Raw genomic sequence first — 17,341 nt, 5'->3', positions numbered from 1 at the left:
TTTGGATGAAAATGTATGCTGAAACAAACCAAAATTATTTAAGGATAAAATTTTAAAATTAAAGCAAAAAAGTTTTTATTGATAATACTAAACTAAAGACATTGATCTGACTTCTTACGTACAAATTAATGGAACCTTAACAATAATAACAAAACTCTAGAATTATCTCTGCTTTATAAATAAAGAAATCAAGGTAGAGTTAAGTTACATAATAGACTAAATTCATGTTAAGAGCCAGGATCAACTTTAGGCAATATATGGCTTTATGACCTCACTCACTCTGCTATGCTGCCTCAAAAATTGTGGTGCCACAGAAATGGTCGTGGCATGCGGCACTGAAACCAGATAAATATATATGTTTGTAGAAAATTTGTCACATGTAAATTTTCAAATGTAAAAATAATTTAAAAGCAACCTGGAAACAATGATTTGACAAGAGGCTGATCCTTTTGTTGAAATCCTCTCTCTTTCTTTGTGTGTGTGTGTGTGTGTGTGTGTGTGTGTGTGTGTTTTAAAACATTTTAAAAGTATGACATAAAAACCGCCTCAGTGTAAAATCATGCTGTAGTTTGGGAAGTCCCAAAGACCACCCCTACGTTCAATGATTCATTAGCAAGATTCTCAGAACTAAGGAAAGCCATTAGACTCATGTTTACTGTTTATTATGGTGTAACAATGTAGATTAAAATAAGAATAGGAAAAATACACACATGGCAATGTCTAGGAGATACCAGGAACAAGCTTTAGGTTGTCCTCTCCCAGTGGATTTGAAGGGATAGCGCTTATTTCTACCAGCAATGATGCATGGCAACATGCACAAAGTACAGCCATATGTTGCTTGACAACAGGGATACATTCTGAAAAGTGTGTGTGTTAGGTAATTTCATTCTTGTGAAACCATTATAGAGTGTACTTACACAAACAGATAGCATAGCCTACTACCCACCTAGGCTCATGGTGTAGCCTATTGCTCCTAGGCTACAAAACTGTATGTTTCTTTATTGAATACTGTAGGCAATTGCAACACAATGGTAAACATCTGTGTATATAAACAGATGTAAATGTAGAAATGGTACAGTAAAAATATGGGCACAGTTGTTTATGCAGTCTCTTTGACTAAAACGTTGTTATGTGGTGCGAGACTATATTCCAAACCAGGGAAGCTCCAAGGTAGGTCAAGCTGATGTCAAGTGTTCCAAGCCCTTTCTGTCATGGCCCAAAGTCTCTATGAAAACAAAGACATTCTTCAGAAACAGGATATTCCAGGGATTTAGAGATTTCCTTTCAGGAGTGAGGAACAAGTGTCATACCTTTCTTTGAGATAGGCAGGGACAACAAACAGTTACTGAGTTAGTCATTTACTGCATACATACCAACAATACATTAACCAATGATTTAAAGAGTGAAAATCAATCTTTGCCATTTTCTTGTTGATGTTATTTGTGTCATTTCCAGTTATTTTTCAATCTTTTGGTAATACAAACAATACTTGAATGTCCTGGTATGTAAGTATACAAATTTTATTCTTTTGAGTTTTACAAGTGTTGAGCTTACAAATGTTGAGTTTTATAAGTGTTGAGTATGCACATTTAAAATTTTGGTTGACATTTCAATAAGATTTGGGGTTGGTCTGTGTATTAGTCCATTTTCATGCTGCTGATAAAGACATACATCAGACTGGGTAACTTACAAAAGAAAGAGGTTTAATGGACTCATGGTTCCATGTGGCTGGGGAGGCCTCACAATCATGGCAGAAGGTGAAAGGCACATCTCACATGGCAGCAGAGAAGAGAAGAGAGAACCAAGAGAAAGCGGTTCCACTTTTAAAACCATCAGATCTCACGAGACTTATTCACTATCATGAGAGTTGGATGGGAAAGACTAGCCACCATAATTCAATTACCTTCCACTGGATCCCTCCCATAACACGTGGGAATTGTGGGAGTTACAATTCAAGATGAGATTGGGTTGGGGACACAGCCAAACCATATCAGTCTGATATTTGAGTCTTCTGAAACAGAAATACAGTATTTCCCCTTTTCACGTATGATTTGGCCTGATTTTTATAATTGTTTACATAACTAACAAATATTCAAGGTATTTACTCTTTTATTTCTTAGTGTATAAATTTGACCGTTACTTATTACATTTTATAATTATTTATCTCTGTTGTCCTGATATCAGAAAATGACATTTTTTATATTGGTCTTAAAAAACAAAGGTCATTTCAACTTTCTTCTTACTTTAAAATACTTCCATTTAGTTGTCATTGATTTCCTAGGTGCGTAGATATATAATTTGCAAATAATAGCAGTGTGTTTTCTTCCTTTCTTATATCTGTACTATTTACTACTTTTCTTGCTTTATTACATGCAGTTAGCATTTCAGAACAATATCAACTATTGGCTCTTTTCATCTTGTTCCTGACATTAAAGGGATTGTTTCACATCAAGCATGATATTTCCTATAGTTTTCTGATAAGCCTTATTCAGAATAATGACCTCTCCTGCTTTTTCAGATTTACCAAATTTTCTGCTTCTAAGCATAGCTGTTAAAGTTTTGTTCAAAGCTTTTACTTTATCATCAAGATATCTATGTTTTTCATTTCCTTAAAACAATAAAATAGTGACATATGATATTGATTTCCAAAAGCAGACCTCTCCTTCTTTCCTGGAATACAATCTAGTTTTCATACACTAATATTTTATTTGGTGATATTCTATATCTATGGTTATAAATCCATTACTTAAAGAGTGTTTTTGAAAACTGGGTAATAATGAAAAGTAATTTTAAATAAATGGGATTTAGAACACAGAGAACAAAAAAACAAAGAAATCTTATTCCATCTTTTAGATCATATATAATAAAATAGAAAAATTATGATATATGAATAATAAGACACAGTGGCAGGAGCTAGGTCAGTTAGTTCAACTATGCTAGTAATTTTAAATCATAAATTTATTTTATTAGAAAGACGACAAGTTCATATTGGTTTCTTAAAAACTTCACCAAAGTTGCTTAGAAAGACTCTTCAAAAATTAAAACAATATAATTATAAATAAAAGATAGTTCAAAAGTAATTAAGTAAAGAAAAGAAATAATAAAATCACCCTAAGAGCAATAACCTCTACATTTAAGCACTTCATATGTGCAAGGTGGTGCATGTACATTGCTAACTTTATTCCCTAAACAATCTGGCTAGTGGGGCACTTATTATTATTATGTTACAAATAAAGAAACTGGGATTTGGCAGAATAAAGTTACCTGTTAATGGAAGAAGAATACCTGGGAGTGTTAAGATTCAAAACTGGGGCTATTTAGCTCAAAAGCCACACTCTTTTCACTATGCTATACTGACAGTGCCTCTGCTGAGAAACGTAAGATTGAACCTGAGGTAACAAGAAAAATCTCAGAGTAATAATTACAATTTAATGTGAATATTAATGCAGTTTGGGGCACCAGATATGGGAGGAAAAAAACATATGGAAGAGGGGAGAAGCCAAGATGGCCAAATAGGAACAGCTCTGGTCTACAGCTCCCAGCGAGAACGACGCAGAAGAGGGGTGATTTCTGCATTTCCATCTGAGGTACCGGGTTCATCTCACTAGGGAGTGCCAGAGAGTGGGCGCAGGACAGTGGGTGCAGCGCACCGTGCGCCAGCCGAAGCAGGGCGAGGCATTGCCTCACTCGGGAAGCGCAAGGGGTCAGGGAGTTCCCTTTCCTGGTCAAGAAAAGGGGTGACAGACGGCACCTGGAAAATCGGGCCTCTCCCACCCCAATACTGCGCTTTTCCGACGGGCTTAGGAAACGGCGCACCATGAGATTATACCCCACACGTGGCTCGGAGGGTCCTATGCCCACGGAGTCTCACTGATTGCTAGCACAGCAGTCTGAGATCAAACTGCAAGGCAGCAGCAAGGCTGGGGGAGTGGCACCCGCCATTGCCCAGGCTTGCTTAGGTAAACAAAGCAGCCAGGAAGCTCGAACTGGGTGGAGCCCACCACAGCTCAAGGAGGCCTGCCTGCCTCTCTAGGCTCCACCTCTGGGAGCAGGGCACAGACAAACAAAAAGACAGCAGTAACCTCTGCAGACTTAAATGTCCCTGTCTGACAGCTTTGAAGAGAGCAGTGGTTCTCCCAGCATGCAGCTGGAGATCTGAGAACGGGCAGACTGCCTCCTCAAGTGGGTCCCTGTCCCCTGACCCCCGAGCAGCCTAACTGGGAGGCACCCCCCAGCAGGGGCAGACTGACACCTCACACGGCAGGGTACTCCAACAGACCTGCAGCTGAGGGTCCTGTCTGTTAGAAGGAAAACTAACAAACAGAAAGGACATACACACCAAAAACCCATCTGTACATAACCATCATCAAAGACCAAAAGTAGATAAAACCACAAAGATGGGGAAAAACCAGAGCACAAAAACTGGAAACTCTAAAAAGCAGAGTGCCTCTCCTCCTCCAAAGGAACACAGTTACTCACTAACAAAGGAACAAAGCTGGACGGAGAATGACTTTGACAAGTTGAGAGAAGGCTTCAGACGATCAAACTACTCTGAGCTACAGGAGGAAATTCAAACCAAAGGCAAAGAAGTTGAAAACTTTGAAAAAAATTTAGATGAATGTATAACTAGAATAACCAATACAGAGAAGTGCTTAAAGGAGCTGATGGAGCTGAAAGTAAAGGCTCGAGAACTACGTGAAGAATGCAGAAGCCTCAGGAGCCAATGCGATCATCTGAAAGAAAGGGTATCAGTGATGGAAGATGAAATGAATGAAATGAAGCAAGAAGGGAAGTTTAGAGAAAAAAGAATAAAAAGAAACGAACAAAGCCTCCAAGAAATATGGGACAATGTGAAAAGACCAAATCTGCGTCTGATTGGTGTACCTGAAAGTGACGGGGAGAATGGAACCAAGTTGGAAAACACTCTGCAGGATATTATCCAGGAGAACTTTCAGGAAATACAGAGAACGCTACAAAGATACTCCTCGAGAAGGGCAACTCCAAGACACATAATTGTCAGATTCACCAAAGTGGAAATGAAGGAAAAAATGTTAAGGGCAGCCAGAGAGAAAGGTCGGGTTACCCACAAAGGGAAGCCTATCAGACTAACAGTGGATCTTTCGGCAGAAACTCTACAAGCCAGAAGAGAGTGGGGGCCAATATTCAACATTCTTAAAGAAAAGAATTTTCAACCCAGAATTTCATATCCAGCCAAACTAAGCTTCATATGTGAAGGAGAAATAAAATACTTTACAGACAAGCAAATGCTGAGAGATTTTGTCACCACCAGGCCTGCCCTAAAAGAACTCCTGAAGGAAGCACTAAACATGGAAAGGCACAACCGGTACCAGCCACTGCAAAATCATGTCAAAATGTAAAGACCATCGAGACTAGGAAGAAACTGCATCAACTAACGAGCAAAATAACCAGCTAACATCATAATGTCAGGATCAAATTCACACATAACAATATTAACTTTAAATGTAAATGGACTAAATGCTCCAATTAAAAGACACAGACTGGCAAATTGGATAAAGAGTCAAGACCCATCAGTGTGCTGTATTCAGGAAACCCACCTCATGTGCAGAGACACACATAGGCTCAAAATAAAAGGATGGAGGAAGATCTACCAAGCAAATGGAAAACAAAAAAAGGCAGGGGTTGCAATCCTAGTCTCTGATAAAACAGACTTTAAACCAACAAAGATCAAAAGAGACAAAGAAGGCCATTACATAATGGTAAAGGGAACAATTCAACAGGAAGAGCTAACTATCCTAAATATATATGCACCCAATACAGGAGCACCCAGATTCATAAAGCAAGTCTTGAGTGACCTACAAAGAGACTTAGACTCCCACACAATAATAATGGGAGACTTTAACACCCCACTGTCAACATTAGACAGATCAACGAGACAGAAAGTCAACAAGGATACCCAGGAATTGAACTCAGCTCTGCACCAAGCGGATCTAATAGACATTTACAGAACTCTCCACCCCAAATCAAAAGAATATACATTTTTTTCAGCACCACACCACACCTATTCCAAAACTGACCACATAGTTGGAAGTAAAGCTCTCCTCAGCAAATGTAAAAGAACAGAAATTATAACAAACTGTCTCTCAGACCACAGTGCAATCAAACTAGAACTCAGGATTAAGAAACTCACTCAAAACCACTCAACTACATGGAAACTGAACAACCTGCTCCTGAATGACTACTGGGTACATAATGAAATGAAGGCAGAAATAAAGATGTTTTTTGAAACCAACGAGAACAAAGACACAACATACCAGAATCTCTGGGACGCATTCAAAGCAGTGTGTAGAGGGAAATTTATAGCACTAAATGCCCACAAGAGAAAGCAGGAAAGATCCAAAATTGACACCCTAACATCACAATTAAAAGAACTAGAAAAGCAAGAGCAAACACATTCAAAAGCTAGCAGAAGGCAAGAAATAACTAAAATCAGAGCAGAACTGAAGGAAATAGAGACACAAAAAACCCTTCAAAAAATCAATGAATCCAGGAGCTGGTTTTTTGAAAAGATCAACAAAATTGATAGACCACTAGCAAGACTAATAAAGAAAAAAAGAGAGAAGAATCAAATAGACGCAATAAAAAATGATAAAGGGGATATCACCACCGATCCCACAGAAATACAAACTACCATCAGAGAATACTACAAACACCTCTACGCAAATAAACTAGAAAATCTAGAAGAAATGGATAAATTCCTGGACACATACACTCTCCAAAGACTAAACCAGGAAGAAGTTGAATCTCTGAATAGACCAATAACAGGATCTGAAATTGTGGCAATAATCAATAGCTTACCAACCAAAAAGAGTCCAGGACCAGACGGATTCACAGCTGAATTCCACCAGAGGTACAAGGAGGAATTGGTACCATTCTTTCTGGAACTATTCCAATCAATAGAAAAAGAGGGAATCGTCCCTAACTCATTTTATGGGGCCAGCATCATCCTGATACCAAAGCCGGGCAGAGACACAACCAAAAAAGAGAATTTTAGACCAATATCCTTGATGCACATTGATGCAAAAATCCTCAATAAAATACTGGCAAACCAAATCCAGCAGCACATCAAAAAGCTTATCCACCATGATCAAGTGGGCTTCATCCCTGGGATGCAAGGCTGGTTCAATATATGCAAATCAATAAATGTAATCCAGCATATAAACAGAACCAAAGACAAAAACCACATGATTATCTGAATCGATGCAGAAAAGGTCTTTGAGAAAATTCAACAACCCTTCATGCTAAAAACTCTCAATAAATTAGGAATGTATGGGATGTATCTCAAAACAATAAGAGCTATCTATGAGAAACCCACAGCCAATATCATACTGAATGGGCAAAAACTGGAAACATTCCCTTGGAAAACTGGCACAAGACAGGGATGCCCTCTCTCACCACTCCTATTCAACATAGTGGTGCAAGTTCTAGCCAGGGCAATTAGGCAGGAGAAGGAAATAAAGGGTATTCAATTCGGAAAAGAGGAAGTCAAATTGTCCCTGTTTGCAGACGACATGATTGTATATCTAGAAAACCCCATTGTCTCAGCCCAAAATCTCCTTAAGCTGATAAGCAACTTCAGCAAAGTCTCAGGATACAAAATCAGTGTACAAAAATCACAAGCATTCTTATATACCAATAACACACAAACAGAGAGCCAAATCATGAGTGAACTCCCATTCACAATTGCTTCAAAGAGAATAAAATACCTAGGAATCCAACTTACAAGGGATGTGAAGGACCTCTTCAAAGAGAACTACAAACCACTGCTCAATGAAATAAAAGAGGATACAAACAAGCAGAAGAACATTCCATGCTCATGGGTAGGAAAAATCAATACCGTGAAAATGGCCATACTGCCCAAGGTAATTTATAGATTCAATGCCATGCGCATCAAGTTACCAATGACTTTCTTCACAGAATTGGAAAAAACTACTTTAAAGTTCATATGGAACCAAAAAAGAGCCTGCATTGCCAAGTCAATCCTAAGCCAAAAGAACAAAGCTGAAGGCATCACGCTACCTGACTTCAAACTATACTACAAGGCTACAGTAACCAAAACAGCATGGTACTGGTACCAAAACAGAGATATAGATCAATGGAACAGAACAGAGCCCTCAGAAATAACGCCGCATATCTACAACTATCTGATCTTTGACGAACGTGAGAAAAACAAGCAATGGGGAAAGGATTCCCTATTTAATAAATGGTGCTGGGAAAACTGGCTAGCCATATGTAGAAAGCTGAAACTGGATCCCTTCCTTACATCTTATACAAAAATTAATTCAAGATGGATTAAAGGCTTAAACCTTAGACCTAAAACCATAAAAACCCTAGAAGAAAACCTAGGCATTACCATTCAGGACATAGGCATGGGCAAGGGCTTCATGTCTAAAACACCAAAAACAATGGCAACAAAAGCCAAAATTGACAAATGGGATCTAATTAAACTAAAGAGCTTCTGCACAGCAAAAGAAACTACCATCAGAGTGAACAGGCAACCTACAAAATGGGAGAAAATTTTCGCAACCTACTCATCTAACAAAGGGCTAATATCCAGAATCTACAATGAACTCAAACAAATTTACAAGAAGAAAACAAACAACCCCATCAAAAAGTGGGCGAAGGACATGAACAGACACTTCTCAAAAGAAGACATTTATGCAGCCAAAAAACACATGAAAAAATGCTCATCATCACTGGCCATCAGAGAAATGCAAATCAAAACCACAATGAGATACCATCTCACACCAGTTAGATTGGCAATCATTAAAAAGTCAGGAAACAACAGGTGCTGGAGAGGATGTGGAGAAATAGGAACACTTTTACACTGTTGGTGGGACTGTAAACTAGTTCAACCATTGTGGAAGTCAGTGTGGCGATTCCTCAGGGATCTAGAACTAGAAATACCATTTGACCCAGCCATCCCATTACTGGGTATATACCCAAAAGACTATAAATCATGCTGCTATAAAGACACATGCACACGTATGTTTATTGCGGCACTATTCACAATAGCAAAGACTTGGAACCAACCCAAATGTCCAACAATGATAGACTGGATTAAGAAAATGTGGCACATATACACCATGTGATACTATGCAGCCATAAAAAATGATGATTTCATGTGCTTTGTAGGGACATGGATGAAATTGGAAATCATCATTCTCAATAAACTATCACAATGACAAAAAACCAAACACCGCATGTTCTCATTCATAGATGGGAATTGAACAATGTGAACACACGGACACAGGAAGGGGAACATCACACTCTGGGGACTGTTATGGGGTGGGCGGAGGGGGGACAGATAGCATTAGGAGATATACCTAATGCTAAATGACGAGTTAATGGGTGCAGCACACCAGCATGTCACATGTATACATATGTAACTAACCTGAACATTGTGCACATGTACCCTAAAACTTAAAGTATAATAATAAAAAAAAGAAAATGTAGAAGAAAAATGGCTTAGTTTATTTTCAGGCTACTGATATTGTGCAGACTTAATTTTATCTCTGGGTAATTAAAATGGTTAGATCCATGCCACAGATATGAATATTAAAAGATAAAATTATTTTAATGTGCATAGTTTATATACAGACACCATAACTCTATATGCCAAACCTTGGTCTCATAAACAGGATATATTCTCAGATGTAACTGTAACCTTCATTTACTTCCAGTTATTTGATCTATAACCCTGTTTCTAGAAAGCTGGACAGAAGAGTTATCAAGCATTCTAATGTTATCAAAATAAATTTATAAATTGATATTTTACTATTGAAATTGTTTTAGTGATTATTTTTAAAGGAATTTCTAAAATTTATTTCTGGTACCTTGTTTCAACTTCAAAATTGATTTTTTAAAATGAAGTGTGTTGGTCATTCAAAATTGTACATTTTCATTTTACATTAGAACTATTTAAAGTATATATTCACTCTGTAACTTATGGATTGAAAAACACCAAAAGAGCTCACAATTCAGCATAATGACATTTCTATTTACCTTGGCAGTTCCCCATCTCCTTCAAAGTAGTATTAAAATCTCCTTTTTTTCTGGATGATAAATCATGACAATATAAAAATGTTCATGTAGCATGTTTTATTCCATTCTTGAGCTGCAAAGGGAAAAATGACAATAATTTTATTGCATCAGTAGGGGCCATGGAACCAGTTGTCATGAAGGCTGATTGAAGAAATGCTCCTATTTCACATCCATTTAAAATGACTTTGCAAAGGCTGAGCTATAAACACAAAATGACCAGAAGACAGTAAAGCCAACATGACTATTTTAGTCATCTCAATAATTGATTCCAATGGCTGCTGCTGATGCAATTGTGCAATGATCAACATCTATCATTAGGACAGCCTACATGATTGTATTGGGAACACTATATCAGGTTATCATGCGTATGGGTGTATGTGTGTGTATTTCCAAGTTTGTACATGCACAATTGGAGCTCAGTGAGGTAATCTGAGCTTTTCCAGAGACCTTATGTTGAGTTACTATTACCGACAGTACATTTGGGAAAGTGTCAGATTTTTCAAATGAACGCGGTCCAATTATCTATTTCCAGGAAGATTACCTAAGTTTAAAACGCATTTTTTCTATGGTTTTGATAATTGTTTTAAAATTTCTAGCTACAACTAAAAACATGTATACTTATCATTATTCCAGTTTTTAAGTATAAGGGAAGAAAATTCCAATATTATATTGTTTTCCAGTATTTTAAGCATGTTAAATGTAGTGAAATTTGGGTAAATAAATACTAAGGTTATTAATACTACTGTAGTACTTTATATTTTGAAAAAAGTGAAAGTTAAAATGGCACATACTACATGGTGGTGATGACGTATGTTTATTCGCAGGATCATTTTCCCATGCAAGGTGGCAGAATATATAGATGTTCTGCTAGGTAGGAAAACAATACAATTTGTATGTAGATTTGATGCTTTTGAGGACTTATTTATATATTTTCATTTTTCAAATTGTATGTACTGCTATGAGAGTTTCTGTGAAAAAAAAAAAAAAAAAAGCAATCCATGGTCAAGCATTGTTAAAATCCCTGCTTTCTCCCTATTCATCTGGGGGTGGGAGGTGGCCACAGAGAACATTAATGTATTAAAAAGGCTCTAAGAAGTATGATGATAGTTCACTGACTGATCCTCAAACTTATTTATTTGCGTACTTTAAAAACATAACATTACATAAAATTAAATGTAGAATACAATTTGGAAAGTGCTCATATAAAGGATAATCTCATTCTGTTTTCTAGGACATGACAAATGTTACCTATTAATGTTTGTAAGAATAGAAAAATGACTGAGAGGGGTATTAAAAGTAAGAAATCATAATCTTGCATTAGGTTCTGGATTTTTTTTTTTTTTTAAGCATTCTGTCAGATAGTCTTCCAGCACTTTCTTGGAAGCTTCTTGTGAAATGCAACTCACAGTTACTCATTGATATCTGTTTTTTTGACATCCATGGCTACCTCTGATTCTTAGTTTGATTGTTTCTAATATTGATTGGAATATATTTTTCTGTGGTTTCCCAGTGGTACTAATTCTATTTTCTCTCCAGGGGAGTTGGTGACACAGGAGAAAAATCATCCAAGGCCATGGGTCAGGCTTGATTCTCAGCTTTTGTGAACTGGGGAGTTGAGTTAGAAATGGCCTACCTGAGATGAACTACTAAATGTTATAAGACTCTTGCTTGATCAATTCCTGTTGAAAAAGAGCTAACAGGAATCAGGAAATGCTCCCCAGTAAAAAGGAAAGATGGCCTCTTCCAAATTAAGATTGACTGGGAGTGAGAAGAAAGGGAACTCTTGAGGCAGAGGGTCTCAAATTTTTAACCTGTAATTCTTTAGTGTTTTTGGTAAAATGAAGATTCATATTCACTAGTTTGGGGTTAGGTCCAAGATTCTGAACTTCTAAAATCTTCCAGATTAAGTCAATGCTGTGGCTCCTCACCTAGGGGAACAAGGCTCTAGGAAACCTGAAATTTTACTGACTGGGGAGAATGAGAATCTATTGAGCCAGGTTAGTTTTCTTAGTCCATTTGGGCTGTTATTACCCAAATACCATCAACTGGGTAGCTTATAAGTAACAGAAATTTGTTTTTCAGAGTTCTGGAGTCCAGGAAGTCCAAGCCCCATGTGCTGGCAGATTCAGTGTCTGGCAAAGGCCTGCTTTCTAGGTCATCGATGGCACCTTCCTCCTGTGTCTTCACATGGTAGAAAGTGTGAGGGGTCTTTCTCAGGCTTCTTTTATAAGGGCATTAATCCTATTCATAAGGGATCCATCTTCATGACCTAATCATCTTCCAAAAGTCCCACCTCCTAATACCATGATCTTGGCGATTCAAATTTTAACATATAAATTTGAGAGAGACACAAATATTCAGTCCATAGAATTAGTTAATGCAGAATTTCCCAAACTTTATTTCTTATAAAAATCATGTGGAGGCTCATGTAAATATAGATTCCCACATCCAATTTCATATGTGCCAAATAATATTCTTTAGAGAAAACGCCCAGAATTTTTTTTATGATTAGTAATTCCCTCAGGTGGTTCTTAAGATTAGAAAGTTTGCAAAATATGGAGTTAATGCAGTTTTTTCCCAAGTTGATCTTCAGACCACAGCCAAGCTAAATGCGTAAGGATCTGCTTTCCTGAGGAGCTTATTGGAAATAAGCTTAGAAGTCTTCACTAATGTTAGGATTCAGATCTACCCAAGATCCTGATGCACACCAGGCTTGCGAACCACTGAATGTGCATGCTACTCTTTGATGTGAATTAAGATATTCCCCAGAGTTTATAGAAAATGTTTAAATATTCTAGTCCGACTGTATTCACCCAAATGGAAATGCTAAAAGCAGTGCCTTCCTGAGGTCATTGGGGTTGACAGTGGTAATTTCTGAAATGGTAGCCAGAAAGGGCTCCCTGGGGAGAGTGGAGCATTTACCAACCTCTATTAATCTGAGAGGTTTGTGTGTAAGAGTGTTTTAATGATACAGACAAGGTTTCTCACGTTAGCAACTTCAGCCAACTTCCTGAGTTTAAAGTAGAATTTTATCACTTACAGGGAACTAGTGGGGATTGGGGGATAATTGTAAGGCAGAAAAGGAAACTTCTTGGTATATTTGAAAAAAAGACACATACCTTTGAGTTGAATACTCTTAACTGTTGCCTCTGTTTCTTAATGATAATAATAGCAATAGCAATAGCAATAGTAATTGCACCTAGATCAGGGCCTAATACATAGCAAACACTGAATAACTATTAGCTATTGCTGATAACAAGCAATGAATAACTATTAGCTTGTTATGCTTGTTATGTACCAGGCCCTGATCTAGGTGCAATACATCTAGTTGCATGACCTTAAACAAGTGGCTTAACTCATCTACATTCTCGTATTTTCTTATTTCTTATTATTTGATCCCCCTCTTATTTGATGCACAAGAAGAAAGATAATTTTCTACAAAAACTATCCTGAGTGACTTTATCTTTAATGTCAGTACCTCTGCAGCACTGTGGTTGCACAGTAGCTTAATCTCTTTAATTTCAGGTGATCTCGCCTCCATTTCACATTATCCATCTATTCCACACCCTGAACCAAGGGCTGTCCCGTTTTAGATATTTCTAAACACCGTAAACCATCGTTAGGCCCAAGTTTCTGGATAGTTACCTTAAACATGCCTTTACTGTAACTGTCCTTTGACTTTATACTTACAGTTTCATGATTTTTTTTTTCTTCCAGTCCATCTGGCTTCCTTCCCTAACTAGCCCGTATCATTGATTTTCACTGGCACTAATGTTTCAGCAAACTCCTCTATTCCATCCCATTAGGCTTCGCCATTCCTAGGAAATCCTACAATCCTCTTCCCTCTCTGGTTGGGCAGCTTGAGTGCTAACATAGACACTCATACGACCAGCGGGAGTAGTGCCCTTGTCTATTGAGGGGTCTAATCTTCATAGGGCTGTCAGTGCACCCATTATCCTTTCACTCGTTCATGGTCTGCTCCCCAGAATATTATCCACAAGAACGATTTTAAAAGTTTTTTGCTATCATCAAGGCCCTAGGGGTTGTTAAGCCTACCTGTAGTTTTGAGTCACCTAAAGAGATTTATTTTCTAATGCTCAGGTTCACACAGGAGTCATTAAAGAAAAATCCCTGAGGGTTGGCTAGGCAATGGTATGTAAAAATAAAAAAAATTCCCAGTTGATTCTAACCTGCGCCTATGGTTGAAACCACGGCTCTAATACATCTTCAACGTTTCCTTTCAGCTGAAAGATTTCCTCTCCTGTAAGATATTGAGACAACCACAGTTGGATTCCTCATTTATTTCCCTCAACTTATTATAGACTTATATGTATTAACACTCATTCTAATAACTTTCCAGTCTCAGGCATTTGATCCTTGGTCCTGACCATGCCCTATTCCTTCAACTTTGTTATTGAACATTTATTCTTATCCTCTGTGTCAGTTTCTGTACTGCTTCTCTCTAATCCATCTTTGACTTTCTCTGAGCCTGTGATTTGGTGTGTATACCTCCATCTCCACATCTCCCTATATCTCTCTCTATGGCTTTGTCCCTGTTTCTGTTCCTGTATCTATTTTCTGTGTCTCCTTATCTCTAAATTCGTTTCTCTCTGTGTCTCTGTCTTTGTGCATGTCTGTCTATCTCTCTGTCTCTGTGTTTCTCTCTGTCTCTGTCTCATCTCTCTCCTTGTTCTCACAACTTTCTCTCCTCCCACAGCAACCCTACCCCTTCCCCTGCTTCTGCCTCTGTCTCCTTGCTATGTCTGTCTCTCTCCACTCTTTATATCTCCATTGGCTCTTTGTCCTAAGCCTGTAGATATATTCATATACTCCCATTAAAAAATTGCATGATTCTGAATCTCACTCTACTTCCTTCTCATCTAAAATTTCAGAGATAATAACCTAACATGACTATTTCCATTTATTATTTTCACTTACTTTTCAGTAAACTGCAGTCTGGATTTTATTCCTACTCTGCCACAAAAACTTTTCTCATTATGATCACAAATGACCTTCAATTTACTCATTCTAATAGGCACACCTATTCATTAGGTCAAATGGTAATTTCATTCTCAACAAAATTTGATCCTGTTAGCCAACGTCTTCTTTTTAGTGTTCTTTCTTCTTTTGGCTTCCACGATGTAACTTATTATTTTTCTACAGTTATTATAATTGTCTTATTTTTTAAGCATGATTTTCTATATCTTGCCCTTACATATTGAGTTTCCCAGAGATGGTAGATTAAACAACATTGTTCAGCTCCTTCCCAAAGGAGGTAGATTCTCCTTACCCTGACCCTGCCCAGCCATCCACATATGTGGACTGCCCTTGGGTTTTGCTTATACCAAGAGAATGTGGTAGAAGTGACACTGTTGGGATCCGGAGCCCAGTTCTCAAGATGCATTAGAGGGACAGCCTTCATGTTCTTGGAATATTGACATAAGGTTCCTATGGTGAGAAGCAGCCCGTGATAAAAAAGCCTGCAGACAAATAGAGCCCAGTCAGCCCAGGTGTGTCACCTGAGATGAGCCTCCAGGTGATCTGTAAGTGTGTATATATATATATATATATATATATATAATGTGTAGCCACATCAGTGAGCCTAGGCACGACTAGCAAAGGATTCCTTTAGTTAATCCACAAGGTTTTGAAAAGTATCTCATCATTTTTGTTTTAATTAATTAAGTTATAGAATGGTTTTATAAGCAATAATAAAAAAGTGATAACTCCAGAAATATTGCTGTTGCTAACTTCTCTTTACATACTTAAACTATCCCAGAATAACCTTCCAATGTTCTAACTGCAGATGGTCTCCAACTTATGATGGTTCAACTTGATGTTATGAATTTTTAACCTTACAATGGTGCAAAAGTGATATACATTCAGTTGAATCCATACTCTGAATACACTTACAACCATTCTGTTTTGCACTTTTAGTTCAGCATTCAATGAATTACATGAGATATTCAACACTTTATTATAAAACAGCCCTTGTGTTAGATTATTTTGCCAAATTACAGGCTAATATAAATGTTTTGAGCACACTTAAGGTAGGCTAGGCTACGCTATTATGTGTGGGAGGTTAAGTGTATTAAATTAATTTTCAACATACAATATTTCCAAACCTACGATGACTATCAGGATGTAATCCCATGGTAAGTTGAGGAGCATTTGTGCCTTCTCTGTGCTTATAACTGCCTAAAATATCTTTTCAGTTTTAGTCTCTTAAGGGTCTCAAAACCAGAAATTTGAGGGTCTCAAAACCATAATTCAAAGTTTTCATAAATATCAATAATTTAATGTCTCATAATTAACTCTAATTCAAAACATCTAAATATTGAACAATATCATTGGCTTTCTAATTTATTTAGTGGTATAATTACCCCCCCATCACCCAATTCTGAAAAATTTAGATGATTCTTGCCTCCTGACTTTTTTCTCAATTTCTTCATTTAATCAACATCCTATTATAATCTAACCTACTAATTATTTTCTACTTAGTTCCTTCTCATCCGTCATTGTTGGGTCTCAGACTTTTGCCATCTTTTGCCAGGACTATTGTAGTGATTTGTTGACTATTGTAGTAATTGGTTTCCCTATTTTCCCAGACCCCCTTGAATTTTTACTACATAGAAATATAACTAAAGTTAGTATTTGACTATATCTCTGTTTTTAAATGTATCCATAAAATAAAATGTACTCTGTTAGCATGACACACAAAACCCTTCAATTTGACCCCTAAGAAACTATCCAACTTTATTCTCTCCATTCCATGGCTCCACATTCATCTCGATGACATTTTCTACATGAGAAATATTGGACTATTCAAATATACATGTATAAATAAAGTTTCAAAGATCATGCTTCAAATAATGCCATTTCTGTGGCAAAAATTATGCTACAAATCATACCATTTTGTTTATTTGCTTGGTTCAGTTAAACTCAGCCTCTTTTTCCCATTTAGAAAAAATGTGCAGCTCTCTGCCAGCACTCATTTAATTTTACATAAACACACTCTTTAACGCTGAAGCAAATCTGACTGATTTTCAATGTGAAAATAAAATATAAAAACTATTCTTGGAGTTTATTTCTAAACATAACATCAGAATAGTCTGAGTCATAAGAATCATCTATTTTGGAAAAATCAGATTCATCAAATCAATCTTCAGCCAACAATGGTTCGAGAACGATGTTAACATCATGCATAGGAATGGTACATTTTCTAGGATTTGACATTTTCAGCAATCGAGAATTACTA

At 37.2% G+C, this 17,341-nt stretch overlaps 2 annotated features.

Moving 5' to 3' along the window:
* Nucleotides 3,491-3,990: an enhancer, noted in NCBI's record as "H3K4me1 hESC enhancer chr8:84932601-84933100 (GRCh37/hg19 assembly coordinates)". NCBI's record gives its function as "activates a minimal SCP1, AML or CMV promoter by ChIP-STARR-seq in primed H9 embryonic stem cells {active_cell/tissue: H9 hESC(primed)}" and the evidence as "EXISTENCE:reporter gene assay evidence [ECO:0000049][PMID:30033119]".
* Nucleotides 3,991-4,492: an enhancer, noted in NCBI's record as "H3K4me1 hESC enhancer chr8:84932099-84932600 (GRCh37/hg19 assembly coordinates)". NCBI's record gives its function as "activates a minimal SCP1, AML or CMV promoter by ChIP-STARR-seq in primed H9 embryonic stem cells {active_cell/tissue: H9 hESC(primed)}" and the evidence as "EXISTENCE:reporter gene assay evidence [ECO:0000049][PMID:30033119]".

This window comes from Homo sapiens, chromosome 8 (assembly GCF_000001405.40).
Source record: "Homo sapiens chromosome 8, GRCh38.p14 Primary Assembly".
Classification (NCBI taxonomy): Eukaryota; Metazoa; Chordata; class Mammalia; order Primates; family Hominidae; genus Homo; species Homo sapiens.
Note: the sequence above shows the minus strand (reverse complement) of the source record. Positions and strands in the feature narration are given on the sequence as shown.